General features: G+C 37.3%; 1 long non-coding RNA gene and 1 pseudogene across 6 annotated transcripts in view, besides 2 other annotated features; both read right to left on the bottom strand.

Annotated features, from left to right (window-relative positions):
* LOC105372892 (uncharacterized) overlaps positions 1–21,252 on the bottom strand; it is a 57,069-nt gene that overhangs the window by 23,126 nt on the left and 12,691 nt on the right. The window lies entirely within an intron of this gene.
* RPS26P13 (ribosomal protein S26 pseudogene 13) lies at positions 2,811–3,248 on the bottom strand (annotated as a pseudogene).
* Positions 3,340–3,509: an enhancer, noted in NCBI's record as "experimental_2240 CRE fragment used in MPRA reporter constructs". NCBI's record gives its function as "activates a minimal promoter by MPRAs in K562 erythroleukemia cells, with activity observed for both the introgressed and non-introgressed 1:208871242 variant alleles {active_cell/tissue: K562}" and the evidence as "EXISTENCE:reporter gene assay evidence [ECO:0000049][PMID:34662402]".
* Positions 6,406–6,575: an enhancer, noted in NCBI's record as "experimental_2254 CRE fragment used in MPRA reporter constructs". NCBI's record gives its function as "activates a minimal promoter by MPRAs in K562 erythroleukemia cells, with activity observed for both the introgressed and non-introgressed 1:208874308 variant alleles {active_cell/tissue: K562}" and the evidence as "EXISTENCE:reporter gene assay evidence [ECO:0000049][PMID:34662402]".

The raw sequence follows: 21,252 nt of genomic DNA on the forward strand, positions 1-21,252 counted from the left end.
GCTACTCAGGAGGCTGAGGCAGGAGAATGGCATGAACCCGTGAGGTGGAGCTTGCAGTGAGCCGAGATCGTGCCACTGCACTCCAGCCTGGGTGACACAGTGAGACTCCATCTCAAAAAAAAAAAAAAAAAAAAAAAAGTGCAGCCATACAAAGAAATAGGAAAATGTGATTCATAATGAGGAGAGAATGCAATCAATAGAAACAGACAGAAATGATATGGATGATAAAATCAATAGGCAAAGGCATTAAAAGTTATAACTATTACCTATATGTTTAAAAAGATATAGAAATATTTAAACATGTTAGGAGAGATAAAGATATAAGAAGGAAAAAATCAAGTTTCAAAAGATTCTTTTAAAGTCTGAAATTAAAAATACACTAGATGGGATTAATAGCAAATTAGAAATTGCAGAAGAAAAGATTAGTAAACTTGAAGATGTAGCAATAGAAATTATACAAAATGAAATACAAAGAAAAAAAGCCTGAAAAGGGGAACAGAGCATGAGGGATCTGGGAGACAACCTCAAGTGGCCTAATTTATGTGTAATTGGAATCATCTAAGGGGAGTAAGGGATGTACAGAAGAATATTTGAAGAAACGATGATCAATATTTTTCCATTTGACAAAAACTATAAACCCACAGATCTAAATGAGGCAGGATAGGTAGTCAAGCAAGTAATCATTTCCTTGGGACATGGCAAATGTGGCAACCACGTTATCAACACAAAGAGTTCCAGCGCTCACACATTATAGTCAAGCTCATCCAAGTAGGACTTGTCCTCAGACTGATCCTTTGCTGATTATAATAGTAAAAAACATACCCACCGGGTGCAGATTTAAAATGCTAATAAGACATGTGATGTATAAACAAGCATGTACAGCAACTGAGCGTATGCACCCAGAGGACCACCCCAAACATACTTACTAGTAACACCTCCTCTCTCTTCCTTATGAATAACCATTTAAGACCCCAATAAAGGGAGTCTCCTCAGAGCCAGTCTTTGCTAACTTACCTCTTGAGCAGCCCTAACTTATCTTTTCAAATGTATCTTCACTTAGCTTTAGAGTGTTCTTTCTCTTTTGCAATAAACTGCTTTCTACTATTTTTCTACTGCAGTGTGTCTCTTATTTAAATTAGTTTAAACTAAGAAAACAAGAACCAAGGACTCTCAATCACTGTCAACATTAGAAGGTGGACAAAAGTAGCACAATAATTATGAAGAAAACTACACCAAGGAACAAGGCAATCACATTACTTAAAACCAGCAATAAAGGGAAAATCTTAAAAGCAGTTTGGAAAAAGACACACATGAACAGAAGAATTATAGTAAGGATAAAATAACATATCCTGTCAGTAAAAAGCAAGCCAGAAAATAGTGAACAGAAGCTTTAAAATACTAAAAGAAAAATTTGTCAACCTAGAAATCTCTGCCCAGAATAAATATTTTACAAATGTGAAGGTAAAATATATTTTTTAGCCGAAAAGTCTGAAAGAAGTAGTTGGTAGCAAAACTTCCATTATATGCAATTTTTAAACAAGTTTTAGGGTGCTGCTAAAGCAGTGCTGAGGGTAAGATTTATACCACTAAATGCTTACAGTTAGCTTTTAGGAAAAAATGTCTCAAATTAATAATCTAAGCTCTCACTTCTAGAAAATAAAAAAGCAGAGCAAAATGAAACAAAAGCAAGCAAAGAAAAGAAAATAATAAAGAACAGAAATCTATGAAATTAAAAACAGAAAAAAATCCAAGTCCTGTTACTTTGAGATCAAAAATATTGGTAAACCTTTAGCCAGACTAATTTGTAAAAAAGACACAAATTATCCAGAAGAGAGAGAACATCACTGCAGATCCTACAGTTAAGAAGACACTAGGGAAATATTATGAAGAACTTCAATGGCAACAAATTTGGCAATCTAGCTAAAATGAAAAAATTACTTGAAAAACACAAACTACTAAAGCTATCTAAAGATAAATTAGGCGAAAAAAAGACTCCATATTAAAGACATAGAATTTGTAGTTAAAAATCTTACCACCAAGAAAACTTCAGGCCCAGATAAATTCACTAGTAAATTATATCAAACATTTAAGAAAAGAGTAATATAAATTCCATACAAATACTTCCAGAAAACTGAAGAAAAATAAAACCTCCCTATGCAGTGAATAAGGCTAGCACTTCTCTGACATAAAAATCAGAAAATATAAGTATTATTTAAAAAGAAAACAAAAGACCAATGTTAACAATAACGATAAATGTGAAAATTATTAACAAGTTTTAGCTAATAGAATCTAACAATATTTTAAAATATAAACTATTGCCAAGTGGGGTCTATCTTTTTATCTTATTAGGAAATATTGGTTGAATTTTTAAAATGTGATTAATATTACTCACCGTATTAACAAAGTAGAAACAAATGATCATCTCTACAGTTGAAGAGACCATTTGTCTTACTTTGCTTATAACAGAATACCTAAAACTGGGTAATTTGTTTTAAAAAGGAAATTTGTTTCTTACAGGTATAGAGGTTGAAATGTCAAAAGGTAAGGCACTGCATCTGGTGAGGGTCTTCTTGCTCCTGTAGTTAAACTTTCTGTAGTGTCCCAGGTTGATGCAGGGCATCACATGGCAAGGGGGCTGAGCATTCTAATGTATTATGCTCAGATTTCTCTTTCTCTTCTTATAAATTCACTAGTTTCACTCTCATGGTAACCCACTAATCCATAAATCCTTTAATCCATTAATCCACAAATAAATTAATCCATTCATGAGGACAGAGCTCTCATAATTGAACCACCTCTTTTTTTTTTTTTTTAGTACAATTTCCGTTTTATTTTTCTCCAGAGAATAGTCTGTCTTCAGTCTTTAAGAACTCAGCTCCTTACATGGGCTTTGGTGGGGGACGTGGGCAGCACTCACAGGTCTAAATCGGGGTGGGGGTGTTCAGTCCTTGTGGGCTTCATGAGATCGATTCCTGACTACTTTGCTGTGAATTGCACAACTCACACAGTAATGTAGCTTCACAAACAGCTTGGGAAGCACATAGGCATCGAAGACGCTCGCTTCAGAAATGTCCCTGACTGCTGCGGCCTCCACTATGTTTCAAATGACGAATTTCTTAATGGCCTTGTCCTTGGGCATGCATCAGGCACAGTTAGTGCAGCAAATAGGCTGCACGTGGCTGTGGCCCTTTTTGGCACGACCATTGTTCCTTCTTTTCTTTGTCATCTTGGAGGCACGCACCGGAGAGCTGAATCACCTCTTAAAGACCATAACTCTCAATACTACTGCATTGGGGATTAAATTTCAACATGCATTTTAGAGGGAGCATTCAAACCATACCACCATTTCACATAATCCATCATTTACGTCTGAAAACAAAAAACAAAAGAGCTCTTGGAAAATTTGGAAAATAAAAAAACTTGCCTAACCTGGTAGAAGACATCCCTGAAAGAACTCCATAGCTAACATCACATAATTATGAAAGACTTAATTCTTCCTTTTAATATCAGGAAAAAGACAAAGATATCCATAGTCATCAGTATTTTTCAATATTGTACTAAAGTTCTAATCAGTGCAATAAGATGAAAAAAAAAATAAAATATATCAAAATTAAAAATGAAGAGACTAACACTATCCTCAGCCAACATTTACCTATGTAGAAAATCCTATGGAATCAACAAAAATGCTATTAGAACTAATAAATGACTTTAGATTGAAATAAATTGATATACCATGTTGTAGAATATCAAGTCCATATAAAAAATACTTAGGGTAAATATGACAGGAAATATGTAAGATTTATTACAAGTTTCAGCACATTTAGCATTAATCACTAAGTCAGGTGCTCTCTGACCTGCTTCCTCAGAGTTGTTTGGTGACTGTTGCCTCAAAATCATCGAGATCCTATTACAAGATTATCTTTCCCCTTATCTACTCTATAGATAATATCTTGAACATTATAAAACATTACATTTTCCATCTGAGACATTCTTTCAGGTCATGCATACCAATGAAACTAATGATGTCAGCTGGTCTGAAGGACCCCACAGGAGCTGACTCACAAAATAATACAGTTTCCACATCCAGAGTATTTCATCTCCTTTACCCCAACCAATCAATGACCCAAATTTTCTAGTCCCTTGCCCTCCATGATCCTTTTAAAAACTCCAGCCCAGAAATCCTCAGGGAGCTGATTTAACGGTCTTTTCCCATGACCTCACTCATTGCCCTGTGATCATTAGACTCTTTCTTTGCTGCAAACCTTACTGTCTCAGGGTAATTGGTCTGTTACTGTGTGATAGGTATATGAACCTGTTGGTCCTATAACAAATTCTCTCCCAAATTAATTTATAGGTTCAATACAATCCCAATCAAAATGAACAGCAGGCTTTTTTTCCCTTACAAATTAAAAAAATAGTTTCTGTAAGTTATATGAAAATGTAGTGGGACTACATTGGCAAATCAACTTTCTAAAAGAACTAAAACAGCTTTAAAAATAACAAGGAAAACCCAATTTAAAATTTTAATACTTATTGTAAAGCTAGAATAATTGATTCTGCATGGTTTGGAAAAACAAGATATATTCAGCAATGAAACAGGATAGAAAATCAAGTAATGGACACGCATATATGTGGTCAATCGATGTTCAACAAAACTGCCACGGCAATTCAGTAGAGGAAAAGCAATCTCTTCAAGATACGTTGCTGGAACAATTGGAGAGCCATCTACAAATGAACTTCAATCTTTATCTACCTCAACAAGAAACACAGAATAGATGAGAAAACAAATGTGGGAGCTAAAAATGTAAATATTCTAGAAGTAATCAGGATAAAGTCTTAATGATCTTATGTTTAGCAAATATTTCTTAAGAATCAAAAAACACAAAAAGAAAATTTCAATAAATTGGAATTCATAAAAATGTTAAACATTGCTTTTGAAGGCACTGTTAGTAGCCACAGTCTGGGAGAAAATAGTTCCAAAATATGTATCTGAGAAATAACTTATATCGAGAAGGCATTAAGAACTGTTACAACTCAAAAATTAGAAGACAAAAATATTTTAAATTTTAAAAATGGGGAAAGATTTGAATAGACACTTTTCAAAAAAAGATAATTCAAATGGCAAATGAGGTAAAAATGGCAAAAAAATGCTCAACGTCATTAATCATTAGGGAACATGAAACTGAAAATGATTTTTAAAGAAAGGATGTGGTAATTTAATTGAGAAATAAGAACTTTATCTACAAATAATTCTGGAACAACTGGTCCTTCCTAAGAAAACACAAGAATTTCAACCTTAGCCTCTCCTTGTAAACAAAAACTAATTCAAAATAAAGGATAGACCTAGAAGTAAAAGTAAAATTTTAGAAATTCCAGAAGAAAACTAATTAGAGAAAGAGTTTTGTGACATGTTACTCAAAAAGTATAAAACATAAAAGTTGGATAAATTGTAATTCATTAAAATAATTAACTGCTCTTCCAAAGACACCATTAATAAATGGTCAATAAACAAATGAAAATATGCTCAGCATCATTCATCACCTGAAAAATATAAGTTAAAACCACAACCGTGGGCTGGGTGCAGTGGCTGACACCTATAATCCCAGCACTTTGGGAGGCCAAGGTGGGCAGATCACTTGAGGTCAGCAGTTCGAGACCATTCTGGCCAACAGGGGGAAACCCCATCTCTACTAAAAATGCAAAAGTTAGCCAGGTGTGGTGGTGTATATGTGTGGTCTCTGCTACTCAGGAGGCTGAGGCACAAGAATTGCTTGAACCTAAGGTGGAGGTTGCAGTGAGCCAAGATCATGCCACTGCACTCCAGCCTGGGTGATGGAGTAAGACCCTGTCTCACACACACACACACACACACACACACACACACACACACACACACCATAAAAACCCCTCACAATGGTATACTATTGTATGCGCATTAGAATGGCTACAATTTTAAAAGACTGGCAGATCTAATTGTTGATGAGGTTGTGGAGCAACAAGAATTCACATGCATTATTGGTGGGATTGTAAAGTGGTAAAATCACTTAAAAAAATAAACCGTGAATTTCTAAAATGATCACAAATATAAATACCATACAACTCAGCAATCTTATTCTTAGATATATACTCAAGAAAAATATAAACACATATCCACACCAAAATTTCTACTCAAATATTCACAGTGGCTATATTCATAATAGCCCAAAACTAGAAACAACCCAAATGTCCTTCCACTGTAGTATATTCATACAATGGAATACTGCTAAGCAATAAAAAGGAACCAACAATGAATACTAATGACGACATGGATGCATCTCATAATAATTATACTGTATCTTATTATTAATTATTATATTAATTGTGCTCTGACTTATTATTAAGATACAGACAAGAGTACATAAAATTCCCTTTATATGAAACTCTATAAAAGTCAAATAGAGAAAAATCCAAATATTCAAAAGTTTATCCTTTTGAAAAATTAAAATATTGGTAAACCCCTTGCAAAAATCAGCAATAAAAAACAAAACAGGCTGGGCATGGTGGCTTATGCCTGTAATCCCAACACTTCAGGAGGCCAAGGCAGCCAGATCACTTGAAGTCAAGAGTTCGAGACCAGCCTGGTCAACATGGCGAAACCCAATCTGTACTAAAAATACAAAAAGTAGCCAGGCGTGGTGGCACATGCCTGTAATCTCAGCTACTCAGGAGGCTGAGGCATGAGAATTGCTTGAACCCGGATGCGGAGGTTACAGTGAGCCAAGATCATGCCACTGCACTCTAGCCTGGGCAACAGAGCAAGACTCCATCTCAAAAACAGGCAAAAAAAAAAAAAAAAAAAAATTGTCACTCCATATCTGACTCCAGTGACTAATACTAATTTTAAGATGGATTATAAATTCCAGCATTAGCTAGAACTCCAAACTTGTAAAAGAAAACAAAACAGAATATCTTTGTAACCTAGAGATAGTTAAATAATTTTGTTTTTTAACCACTAACCAGAAAAAAATAAGCAAGCCACAGACTGGAAAAAATATTGATAGATAGGTAGGTAGATAGATAGATAGATAGATAGATAGATAGATAGATAGATAGATAGATAAATAGATAAATGGATAGATAGATAGATAGATAGATAGACAGCTAGGACAAAGGACTTGCATAAAGGACATATGGATGTTCTCAATCTGTTACACATGAATAACAAGAAAAAAAACAACCCAATAGAAAGGTAGACAAAGTACTAAAAAGAAACCCTTTACCAGTGTTGATCACAAGATTGATCACCTGGAAAGAGGCTTAGCATCATTAGTTATCAGGAACACACAAATTGAAACCAAAATGAAACACCATTATGTGCGCACAACGTGTCTAAAATAAAATTTAAAAAATGTCAGTAATACTAAATCTTGGCAAACGTGGAATAATGAAAACTTTTATACATTGCTTATGGCAGAGTAAAATGTTAAAAGCACTTTGGTTAACTCTTTCTTTTTTTCTGATAATGTTAAGCATAGATCTATTCTATGACCCAGCAACCCACTCCTGTATTACTCAAAAGAATTGAAAACATATGTCTACTGAAAGACAAACACAATACTATCATAAAGGCGTTATTCATAATAATTCAATATTGGAAGCAGCTCAAATGTCCATCAACAAGAAAAAAGACAATGGCATTGTCATATGTTTAGACAATGAGTGCTATTCATCAATTAAAAAGGAGTGAAATACTGACATACACAACAACATGGATCAATTTCCAAATATTATTTTAAGTGAAAGAAAGCAGATCCAGAAGGATACAGACTGGATAATCCCATTATAAGAAATCCAAGAATAGGCAAAACTCACTACAATGAGAGCAATAAAAAAGATTTACCTCTGGAGGGTGGAGGAATTGATAGAAAAGGGGAAGGATCAGTATTATATGTTAAATGTTTAGAACTAGCTGGGGCGGTGGGTGGGTGAAAGTTTTGATTTGTAGCATTTGTTGATTTTTATGCTGTGAATACTTCCAATCTCAAGATATCTAGCTGCCAATGTGATATGACTGAACTAGGAGTTAGGAATGCATGTGAGCAGTTGACTCCCACAGCCCCAGAGAGCTGGCTCCAGCATGCCACTGGGAGGAGATGAAGAAACATTCGTTGGTAATAGAAACATTCTAATTCTTCTTCTGGGATGTGGTTATATGGGTATATAAAATTGTCAAAAGTCAACCTGGGTGTGGAGCCAAGATGGCCGAACAGGAACAGCTCCGGTCTACAGCTCCCAGCGTGAGCGATGCAGAAGACAGGTGATTTCTGCATTTCCATCTAAGGTACCAGGTTCATCTCCCTAGGGAGTGCCAGACAGTGGGCGCAGGACAGTGGGTGCAGCACACCGTGCGTGAGCCGAAGCAGGGCGAGGCATTGCCTCACTTGGGAAGTGCAAGGGGTCAGGGAGTTCCCTTTCCTAGTCAAAGAAAGGGGTGACAGACGCCACCTGGTATATCGGGTCACTCCCACCCTAATACGGCACTTTTCCAACGGGCTTAAAAAATGGCACATCAGGAGATTATATCCCGCACCTGGCTCAGAGGGTCCTATGCCCACAGAGTCTTGCTGATTGCTAGCACAGCAGTCTGAGATCAAACTGCAAGGTGGCAGCGAGGCTGGGGGAGGGGCGCCCACCATTGCCCAGGCTTGCTTAGGTAAACAAAGCAGGCAGGAAGCTCAAACTGGGTGGAGCCCACCACAGCTCAAGGAGGCCTGCCCGCCTCTGTAGGCTCCACCTCTGGGGGCAGGGCACAGACAAACAAAAAGACAGCAGTAACCTCTGCAGACTTAAATGTCCCTGGTCTGACAGCTTTGAAGAGAGCAGTGGTTCTCCCAGCACACAGCTGGAGATCTGAGAATGGGCAGACTGCCTCCTCAAGTGGGTCCCTGACCCCTGACCCCCAAGCAGCCTAACTGGGAGGCACCCTGCAGTAGGGGCAGACTGACACCTCACACGGCCAGGTACTCCTCTGAGACAAAACTTCCAGAGGAACAATCAGACAGCAGCATTCACGGTTCACGAAAATCCACTGTTCTGCAGCCACCACTGATCGTACCCAGGCAAACAGGGTCTGGAGTGGACCTCTAGCAAACTCCAACAGACCTGCAGCTGAGAGTCCTGTCTGTTAGAAGGAAAACTAACAAACAGAAAGGACATCCACACCAAAAACCCATCTGTACATCACCATCATCAAAGACCAAAAGTAGATAAAACCACAAAGATGGGGAAAAAACAGAGCAGAAAAACTGGAAACTCTGAAAAGCAGAGCACCTCTCCTCCTCCAAAGGAACGCAGCTCCTCACCAGCAATGGAACAAAGCTGGATGGAGAATGACTTTGACAAGTTGAGAGAAGAAGGCTTCAGACGATCAAACTACTCTGAGCTACAGGAGGAAATTCAAACCAAAGGCAAAGAAGTTGAAAACTTTGAAAAAAATTTAGACGAATGTATAACTAGAATAACCAATACAGAGAAGTGCTTAAAGGAGCTGATGGAGCTGAAAGCCAAGGCTCGAGAATTACGTGAAGAATGCAGAAGCCTCAGGAACTGATGCGATCAACTGGAAGAAAGGGTATCAGTGATGGAAGATGAAATGAATGAAATGAAGCGAGAAGGGAAGTTTAGAGAAAAAAAAATAAAAAGAAACGAACAAAGCCTCCAAGAAATATGGGACTACATGAAAAGACCAAATCTACGTCTGATTGGTGTACCTGAAAGTGATGGGGAGAATGGAACCAAGTTGGAAAACACTCTGCAGGATATTATCCAGGAGAACTTCCCCAATCTAGCAAGGTAGGCCAACATTCAGATTCAGGAAATACAGAGAACGCCACAAAGATACTCCTTGAGAAGAGCAACTCCAAGACACAATTGTCAGATTCACCAAAGTTGAAATGAAGGAAAAAAGGGCAGCCAGAGAGAAGGGTCGGGTTACCCACAAAGGGAAGGCCATCAGACTAACAGCTGATCTCTCAGCAGAAACTCTACAAGCCAGAAGAGAGTGGGGGCCAATATTCAACATTCTTAAAGAAAAGAATTTTCAACCCAGAATTTCATATCCAGCCAAACTAAGCTTCATAAGTGAAGGAGAAATAAAATCCTTTACAGACAAGCAAATGCTGAGAGATTTTGTCACCACCAGGCCTGCCCTAAAAGAGCTCCTGAAGGAAGCACTAAACATGGAAAGGAACAACTGGTACCAGCCACTGCAAAAACATGCCAAATTGTAAAGACCATCAAGGCTAGGAAGAAACTACATCAACTAACGAGCAAAATAACCAGCTAACATCATAATGACAGGATCAAATTCACACGTAACAATATTAACTTTAAATGTAAATGAACTAAATGCTCCAATTAAAAGACACAGACTGGCAAAGTGGATAAAGAGTCAAGACCCATCAGTGTGCTGTATTCAGGAAACCCATCTCACATGCAGAGACACACATAGGCTCAAAATAAAAGGATGGAGGAAGATCTACCAAGCAAATGGAAAACAAAAAAAGGCAGGGGTTGCAATCCTAGTCTCTGCTAAAACACACTTTAAACCAACAAAGATCAAAAGAGACAAAGAAGGCCATTACATAACGGTAAAGGGATCAGTTCAACAAGAAGAGCTAACTATCCTAAATATATATGCACCCAATACAGGAGCACCCAGATTCATAAAGCAAGTCCTGAGTGACCTACAAAGAGACTTAGACTCCCACACAATAATAATGGGAGACTGTAACACCCCACTGTCAATATTAGACAGATCAATGAGACAGAAAGTTAACAAGGATACCCAGGAATTGAACTCAGCTCTGCACCAAGCAGACCTAATAGACATCTACAGAACTCTCCACCCCAAATCAACAGAATATTCATTTTTTTCAGCACCACACCACACCTATTCCAAAATTGACCACATAGTTGGAAGTAAAGCTCTCCTCAGCAAATGTAAAAGATCAGACATTATAACAAACTATCTCTCAGACCACAGTGCAATCAAACTAGAACTCAGGATTAAGAAACTCACTCAAAACCTCTCAACTACATGGAAACTGAACAGCCTGCTCCTGAATGAGTACTGGGTACATAACGAAATGAAGGCAGAAATAAAGATGTTCTTTGAAACCAATGAGAACAAAGACACAACATACCAGAATCTCTGGGACACATTCAAAGCAGTGTGTAAAGGGAAATTTATAGCACTAAATGCCCACAAGAGAAAGCAGGAAAGATCCAAAATTGACAACCTAACATCACAATTAAAAGAACTAGAAAAGCAAGAGCAAACACATTCAAAAGCTAGCAGAAGGCAAGAAATAACTAAAATCAGAGCAGAACTGAAGGAAATAGAGACACAAAAAACCCTTCAAAAAATTAATGAATCCAGGAGCTGGTTTTTTGAAAGGATCAACAAAATTGATAGACCGCTAGAAAGACTAATAAAGAAGAAAAGAGAAAAGAATCAAATAGACGCAATAAAAAATGATAAAGGGGATATCACCACCGATCCCACAGAAATACAAACTACCATCAGAGAATACTACAAACACCTCTACGCAAACAAACTAGAAAATCTAGAAGAAATGGATAAATTCCTCGACACATACACCCTCCCAAGACTAAACCAGGAAGAAGTTGAATCTCTGAATAGCCCAATAACAGGCTCTGAAATTATGGTAGTAATAAATAGCTTACCAACCAAAAAGAGTCCAGGACCAGATGGATTCACAGCCGAGTTCTACCAGAGGTACAAGGAGGAACTGGTACCATTCCTTCTGAAACTATTCCAATCAATAGAAAAAGAGGGAATCCTCCCTAACTCATTTTATGAGGCCAGCATCATCCTGATACCAAAGCCGGGCAGAGATACAACCAAAAAAGAGAATTTTAGATCAATATCCTTGATGAACATTGATGCAAAAATCCTCAATAAAATACTGGCAAACCAAATCCAGCAGCACATCAAAAAGCTTATCCACCATGATCAAGTGGGCTTCATCCCTGGCATGCAAGGCTGGTTCAGTATATGCAAATCAATAAATGTAATCCAGCATATAAACAGAACCAAAGACAAAACCACTTGATTATCTCAATAGATGCAGAAAAGACCTTTGACAAAATTCAACAATGCTTCATGCTAAAAACTCTCAATAAATTAGGTATCGATGGGATGTATCTCAAAATAATAAGAGCTATCTATGACAAACCCACAGCCAATATCATACTGAATGGTCAAAAGCTGGAAGCATTCCCTTTGAAAACTGGCACAAGACAGGGATGCCCTCTCTCACCACTCCTATTCAACATAGTGTTGGAAGTTCTGGCCAGGGCAATTAGGCAGGAGAAGGAAATAAAGGGTATTCAATTAGGAAAAGAGGAAGTTAAATTGTCCCTGTTTGCAGATGACATGATTGTATATCTAGAAAACCCCATTGTCTCAGCCCAAAGTCTCCTTAAGCTGATAAGCAACTTCAGCAAAGTCTCAGGATACAAAATCAATGTACAAAAATCACAAGCATTCTTATACACCAATAACAGACAAACAGAGAGCCAAATCATGAGTGAACTCCCATTCACAATTGCTTCAAAGAGAATAAAATACCTAGGAATCCAACTTACAAGGGATGTGAAGGACCTCTTCAAGGAGAACTACAAACCACTGCTCAAGGAAATAAAAGAGGATACAAACAAATGGAAGAACATTCCATGCTCATGGGTAGGAAGAATCAATATCGTGAAAATGGCCATACTGCCCAAGGTAATTTATAGATTCAATGCCATCCCCATCAAGCTACCAATGACTTTCTTCACAGAATTGGAAAATGGCCGTACTGCCCAAGGTAATTTATAGATTCAATGCCATCCCCATCAAGCTACCAATGACTTTCTTCACAGAATTGGAAAATGACCATACTGCCCAAGGTAATTTATAGATTCAATGCCATCCCCATCGAGCTACCAATGACTTTCTTCACAGAATTGGAAAAAACTACTTTAAAGTTCATATGGCACCAAAAAAGAGCCCGCATCGCCAAGTCAATCCTAAGCCAAAAGAACAAAGCTGGAGGCATCACACTACCTGACTTCAAACTATACTACAAGGCTACAGTGACCAAAACAGCATGGTATTGGTACCAAAACAACATGGTATTGGTACCAAAACAGAGATATAGATCAATGGAACAGAACAGAGCCCTCAGAAATAACGCCGCATATCTACAACTATCTGATCTTTGACAAACCTGAAAAAAATAAGCAATGGGGAAAGGATTCCCTATTTAATAAATGGTGCTGGGAAAACTGGCTAGCCATAGGTAGAAAGCTGAAACTGGATCCCTTCCTTACACCTTATACAAAAATTAATTCAAGATGGATTAAAGACTTAAACGTTAGACCTAAAACCATAAAAACTCTAGAAGAAAACCTAGGCATTACCATTCAGGACACAGGCATGGGCAAGGACTTCATGTCTAAAATACCAAAAGCAATGGCAACAAAAGCCAAAATTGACAAATGGGATCTAATTAAACTAAAGAGCTTCTGCACAGCAAAAGAAACTACCATCAGAGTGAACAGGCAACCTACAAAATGGGAGAACTTTTTTTGCAACCTATTCATCTGACAAAGGGCTAATATCCAGAATCTACAATGAACTCAAACAAATTTACAAGAAAAAAACAACCCCATGAAAAAGTGGGCAAAGGACATGAATAGACACTTCTCAAAAGAAGACATTTATGCAGCCAAAAAACACATGAGAAAATGCTCACCATCACTGGCTATCAGAGAAATGCAAATCAAAACCACAATGAGATACCATCTCATACCAGTTAGAATGGCAATCGTTAAAAAGTCAGGAAACAACAGGTGCTGGAGAGGATGTGGAGAAATAGGAACACTTTTACACTGTTGGTGGGACTGTAAACTAGTTCAACCATTGTGGAAGTCAGTATGGCAATTCCTCAGGGATCTAGAACTAGAAATACCATTTGACCCAGCCATCCCAGTACTGGGTATATACCCAAAGGACTATAAATCATGCTGCTATAAAGACACATGCACACGTATGTTTATTGCGGCACTATTCACAATAGCAAAGACTTGGAACCAACCCAAATGTCCAACAATGATAGACTGGATTAAGAAAATGTGGCACATATACACCATGGAATACTATGCAGCCAAAAAAATGATGAGTTCATGTCCTTTGTAGGGACATGGATGAAATTGGAAATCATCATTCTCAGTAAACTATTGCAAGAACAAAAAACCAAACACCGTATATTCTCACTCATAGGTGGGAATTGAACAATGAGAACACATGGACACAGGAGGGGGAACATCACACTCTGGGGACTGTTGTGGGGTGGGGGGAGGGGGGAGGGATAGTTTTAGGAGATATACCTAATGCTAGATGACGAGTTAATGGGTGCAGCACACCCCCATGGCACATGTATACATATGTAACTAACCTGCACGTTGTGCACATGTACCCTAAAACTTAAAGTATAATAATAATAAAAAATTGTCAAAAGTCATCATATTTATTAGAAATTTGAAATCTGTGCATTTTTGTATGTCAGTTGCATTTCAGTTTTTTAAAAAGTGGTAAGTGGCACATGCTAGGTAAAAAGAAAAGACTTGCCACTGGAATTGTCTTCAGGCCAACACTGTAACATGCCAGAATATCTCAGTATAACAAAGAACCCCCAAATTTAATGGCTTAAAGCAATGACATCATTTATTTTGCTCAAGAGCAAAATATTTATTGTCATTATCAAATGAAATATCATTTATTTTGTGCAGGGCTTAGCAGGGATAGCTCATCTCTGCTCCGCTTATATTAGCTACATCAGTTCCAAGGCTGGACATTAGAATCATCTCTCACTCACTCAAATATCTGATGGTGGATACTGGGGCTTACATGTGACCTCTTAATGTGGCCTGGGCTTTCTTACAAACCTGAGCCCAGGTTCTAAGAGTGAATATCCAAGAGAAGGAAGCCAGACAGAAGCTGTATCATCTTTTCTAACCTAGCCGGGGAAGTCACACTGCTTCCCTCCTAGTTCATTCTATTTGTCAGAGCAGCCACAAGCCTGCCCAGGTTTAAGAGATGGTGAAATAGTCTTCAGCTCTTCATGGGGAATGCCAAAATGCTAGAAGAATATATGAGACCGGAAATATTGTTGCAACTATTCTGAAAAATACATTCTGCCATAGACTGTTATCTGGCATCATACCCCTCCCTCTTACATAGAAAATACTCAAGGCTCTTCCTAGAATCTTCCAAAACTCATACTAGCCCCAAAAGATGTATAGATATACTTTTTTAAAAAGACATCCCATTTCAGCATTATATTTTAAATGTAGAGAAGATTCAGAATCTTATTATCTAAGTCAGATACAGGGATAGGGAAGGCTCCTTGAGTCTGATCCTCAAGAATTCCAAGTACGAAGAACTGGGAAATAAAGAGACGAGTTATCTGTACCCTACACAGCTAATAACCTAAACTGTGTGACAAGCATGAGATAATCGTAATGGATGTCTCGTTAGTAAAGTGGGAAAACTGGAAGCATCCAGTAACTACTGGTTCATAGCAAATGTGAAATACTTGCCAATCCTTGATTAGGGCTCTGTTCTACTTCCTGGGAGTGAATGATTCACTATTCCCCTTGGCTCCGTTCTCTGGGCTCTTTTCTCTGGGCTCCTCCTTGTGCCCTCTGTTTGGCTGGTTCTTGCCTGTAGTCATTCTAGAGTCCAAAGGCCTCTTTTTCTTTTTTTTTTTTTAACGTAAAACTACAAACTTTGTTCATATTTTACAAGTTTTTCCTTTAATTTTCCATGAATGCCCTAAAATTTCTGGATCTAATTTAGGATACCTCATTGCGTTTAGTCATCTCTTTAGTCTCCTTCAATCTGTGACAGTTTTTCAGCCTTTTACAATCTTGACACTTTTTAAAATTTAAAATAAAGTTTTACTGAGATATAATTTGCATACCATACAATTTACCCACTAAAGTGTACAATGAAATGATGTTTTAAATAATTTCAAAGAGCTTTGCAATCTTTGTACAATCTGATTTTAAAACATTTTAATCACCCCAAAAAGAAGCCTCATACCCAATTGTATTCATTGCTCATTTCTCTGCCCTAAAAACCTCCCAGCTGTAGGCAACTACTAACTACATATACATTTCCATATACATTTCAGAAATATATTGTCAAGTACTATAAGACAGCTATGATTTTGATAGGAATTGTATTGAATCTATAGATCAGTTAGAGTATATCACCATCTTTACAATATTAAGACTTCAAATCCATGAACATATGATGTATTTCTGTTTATTTAGATCTTCTGAATTAATCAATGATGTTTTGTAGTTTTAAGAGTATAACTTTTGAACTTTTTCTGTTACATTTATTCCTAGGTATATTATTCCCCTAGACACAATTTTAATGGAATTTTATACTTAATCTCATTTTCAGATTATTTGTTGCTAGTATATAGAAATACAATGAATTTTTATACATTGATCTTGGGACTTTATACATTCACTCTTGGGACTTGGTTTTTCTGGACATTTAGTATAAATAAAATTATAAAATATGTGATCTTTTGTGTCTGGCTTCTTTCACTCAGTGTATTGTTTTCATAGTTTATATATGTTGTAGCAGATATCTACTGAATGAACTACCGTTCCTTCTTTTCTATTACTAAATAAAATTCTGTTGGACCAGGATGCCACATTTCACTTATCTGTTTGTCAGTTGATAGACTTTTGGGTTGTTTCCACCTCTTGGCTATTATGAATAATGCTGCTATGAACATTTTTGTAGACATTTTTTTCTGGTGGAACTATGTTTCCGTTTTGGAGGAGTATATGCCAAGGAGTAGAATTGCTGGGTCGTATGGTAACTTTATGTTTAACATTTTGAGGGGCTGCCAAACTGTTCTTCAAAGCAGCTGCACCATTTTACATGCCATCAGCAATGTATGAAGGTTGCAATTTCTGCACATTCTTTCCTACACTTATTATCTGTCTTTTTGATTACAGCTATCCTGATGGGTGTGATATGGCATCTCATTGTGGTTTGGATTTGCATTTCCTAATGGCAAATGATGCTGAGCATATTTTTATGTCCTTATTGGCCATTTGTGAATCTTTTTTGAGAAATGTCTATTCAAATCCTTTGCCCATTTTTAAATTGGGTTATCTTTTTATTGTTGAGTACTAAAAGTTATTTATATATTCTGGATACATTCCCTTAACAGATATATGACTTGCAAATACTTTCTCTAATTCTTTGGGGTTTCTTTCCCCTTTCTTGATGACATGGTTTATAGTATAAAAGTATTCAATTTTGATAAAATCCAATTTATCAATTTTTTAGTTTGTTACTTTTGCTTTTGGTGTCATATCTAAGAAACCATTACCTAAACCAAGATCACAAAGATTTACTTCTATGTTTTCTTCCAAGAGTTTTCTACTTTCAATCCCTAAATTTAAGTCCACAATCCATTATGTGATAATTTTGTGTGTGGTGTATTTTTGCATATGAATATCCAGTTGTTCCAACACCACTTCTTAAAAAGACTATTATTTTCCCATTGAATTGTCACAAATCAATTGATCATAAATGTAAAGGCCTTGTTTCTGGACTATCACTGCTATTCCATTGATCTATATGTCTAGCCTTATGCCAGTACAACATTGTCTTGATTACTGTATCTTTGTGGTAAGTATAAAATTGGGAAGTGTTAATCTTCCAAATTTATTCTTATTTTTCAAGATTATTTTGACTATTATTGGTCCATTGATTTCCATATACATTTCAGAAATATATTGTCAAGTACTATAAGACAGCTATGATTTTGATAGGAATTGTATTGAATCTATAGATCAGTTAGAGCATATCACCATCTTTACAATATTAAGACTTCGAATCTATGAACATATGATGTATTTCTATTTATTTAGATCTTCTGAATTAATCAATGATGTTTTGTAGTTTTAAGAGTATAACTTTTGAACTTTTTCTGTTACATTTATTCCTAAGTATGTTGTTCCCCTAGACGCAATTTTAATGGAATTTTATACTTAATCTCATTTTCAGATTATTTGTTGCTAGTATATAGAAATACAATGAATTTTTATACATTGATCTTATATTTTGAATTTATTTATTAGTTCTAAGAGGGTGAGTATGTTTGTGTATTCATTAGTATCTTCTATGTGTGGCGCATCTGAAAATAGAGATTGCTTTATTTATTCATTTTCAATATCGATGTCTTTCTTTTTCTTTCCTACTTTCCTTGGCTAGAGATGTCAGTATACTGTTGAGTAGAAATGAGAATGGACTACTTGACTGATTCCTGATTTTAGGGAGGAAAGCATCCAGTCTTTCACCCTTAAGTATGACAAAGCTGTGAAATTCTGTAGATGCCCTTTGCAAGTTGGAGTTTCCCTTCTATTCCTAATTTGTGGAGCTCTTTACATTTTATATCATCTCTTTTTCTTCTAGTTAAATTTTATTAAGGTCTACTCCATCAGACAAAAGCCATAGCCATTGAAATTCCTTTGAAGTAAGGCCTCGTCCATCTTGGGCTTCCCGTAGAGCTATTGTGAGACAACACCCTTAAGATTCTTAGAAGCTCTTCTTTTAAAAAAAAAAAAAAAAAGGATTTTTCCATGAGAATTAACCTTAAGATAATTGGAGCAAGATTTTTTTTTTTTTTTTTTAGCTTGAGCTATCATCTTAAATGTTTCTGATGTCTCAACATAGGGTTTTCTGGTCACAGTCTTGTCTTCCTCTGTAGATAAAGCTCTATATTTGACCTTCCTGATAACAGTTCTCAATTTGACCTTTGCCTGGAAGCCATTTCCCTTTTTTTTTGTGAGACAGAGTCTCGCTCTGTCACCCAGGCTGGAGTGCAGTGGTGTGATCTCGGCTCACCGCAACCTCCGCCTCCCAGGTTCAAGTGATTCTCCTGCCTCAGCCTCCTGAATACCTGGGATTACAGGTGCATACCACCACTCCTGGCTAATTTTTTTTTTGTATTTTTTGTAGAGATGGGGTTTCGCCATGTTGGCCAGGCTGGTCTCGAACTCCTGACGTCAGGTGATCCACCCGCCTCGGCCTTCCAAGTGCTGGGATTACAGGTGTGAGCCACCACACCTGGCCACCATTTCTTAATTTTAGCATTATTTGCTATATGGAGAGGCTGGCAATAAAATGGAGTTGTAATTTTTGAACCCAGTACATCCTCGTTCCTTTATATTTAACAATCCCTTCTTCAGTTATAGCTTTCCTCTTGCATTTTACTGTGAACAGCTAGAAGCTAGACGACATCTTGAACACACTACCTGGAAATCTCCTCAGCTAGATCCAGTTCATTAGGTAAACTTTCTATTTCCTATGTCACTATAGGTGACAGTGTTGCTAAACTTTCTGTCACTTTATATTAAACGTCCCCTTTCCTCAAGCTCCCAATAACATTTTCCTCACTTTTTTAAGACCTCACAGACAACTTCCTCAGGGCAATCAGGCCTCAGCTAACAGTCTCTTCAGGGGCCATGCACTTCTGCCCTCTCCTTGGTCCCAAAGCCACTTCCACATGTTTAGGTTTTTGTTATGATAGTTTTCTACTTCACACAATAAAACCTGTTCTACTTATCATGGCTGTACAACAAGTCACTCTAAATTTTAGTAGCTTAAAACAATGACAGCATTTATTGTACTCAGGAATCTGCTGAGTGAGGCTCAGCATGAATAGCTCACCTGCACCCCATAGCATCTGTTAACAGCTTGCAGAGTGAGAATCAAAGTTACCCAAAGGCTTGTTCACTCACATAATTGGAGTCGATGTTGATTCTCAGCTGAAACCTTAAATAGGACTTTCAACCAGAGCAGATACAGGGACCTCACCACGTCGCTTGGGCTTTCTTGCAACATGATGACCTAGTTCCAAGGGCAAGCACATGAGCAAGAGAGATAGAGAGTGCACTAGGGAGAAGCTCACTCATCTGTTCTAAGATAGCTTCAGAAGTCACGTGACATCACTTCCACCACATTTTCTATGTGACACAGTCACAAGCCTGCCAAGGGTAAAAGGAAGGGAAATAACCTTTATCTCTTAATGGAGAGTGGTGAGGTTCAGGGAGATTATATTGTATGGAAATATCACTATGCCTTTTTTTTTTTTAAGAGACAGGGTCTTGCTCTGTTGCTCAGGCTGCTATACAGTAGCATGATATAGCTCACTACAGCCTTGAACTCTTGGGTTGAAGCAATCCTTCAGCCTCAGCCTCTTGAGTAGCTGGGACTAAAGGTATGTGCCACCACTCCCAGCTATGTGCCATTTTTGATAATTACAACCTGCCACAAGAGTCAATTCATTTTCCTTATAGAAATGATGCATTAAGATAATCCTTGAAAAATAGAGTTGCATATGAATTGATGAGCCAAGTGAAAGATATATTTATCAAATATATTTAACATATATATGTATATATTTGATAAAATTGTTTGCCTTTTAATACTCAGGTCGCCTGGGCTGAACTGAGCTTCTTTACTTTGAATTTCTTTTTATTTGCACATATTATGCCTCTGATTTTTGTCTTTATATCATTTACCTGGATCTCCCTTACAGAAGCAAGAAGTTAGACCCAGACAAATCTCTGAGTCAATCAAAGATAGTTGAGGCTTGGGATGTTAAATGAGATGGTTCAATGAATCACAACTCTTTTACCACAGATATGGGCATTGGAACACATGCCCTTGCTAGTGTAGGAGGGAAAAATGAGCTGTGTCTGTATGGATAAAGACCAGATGGGGATGTGACTCCATGCCTTCAGTGTGACTTGCTCCACACCATCAAGACTCATTGGCATGCATCTGCATTCTTCTCCCTGCCCATGGTCAGTTTTTCAAGAACTAAGTATCAGTAAGAAGGTAAGCAATAGACAATAACTGGTGGGCATTAATTAAGTCCACACTGGGCTGACTCCAGCAGAACACATGTCTAATGGTTACACAGAGAGGAGAGAATAAAAATCAATCTGGTTAATGTTATTCTGGCCTCTGTCAAGGGATGAGGAAATGGACTTATCATGCTTTGAAATGTAATGCAAACTTGGATATCAGGATGATAGACAGCATAAAATACAGATAGAACTGGTTTTCTCCCTCCTCCAAAGCTCCCTAAAAGAGCCAAC

Source organism: Homo sapiens, chromosome 1 (assembly GCF_000001405.40).
Source record: "Homo sapiens chromosome 1, GRCh38.p14 Primary Assembly".
Lineage (NCBI taxonomy): Eukaryota > Metazoa > Chordata > Mammalia > Primates > Hominidae > Homo > Homo sapiens.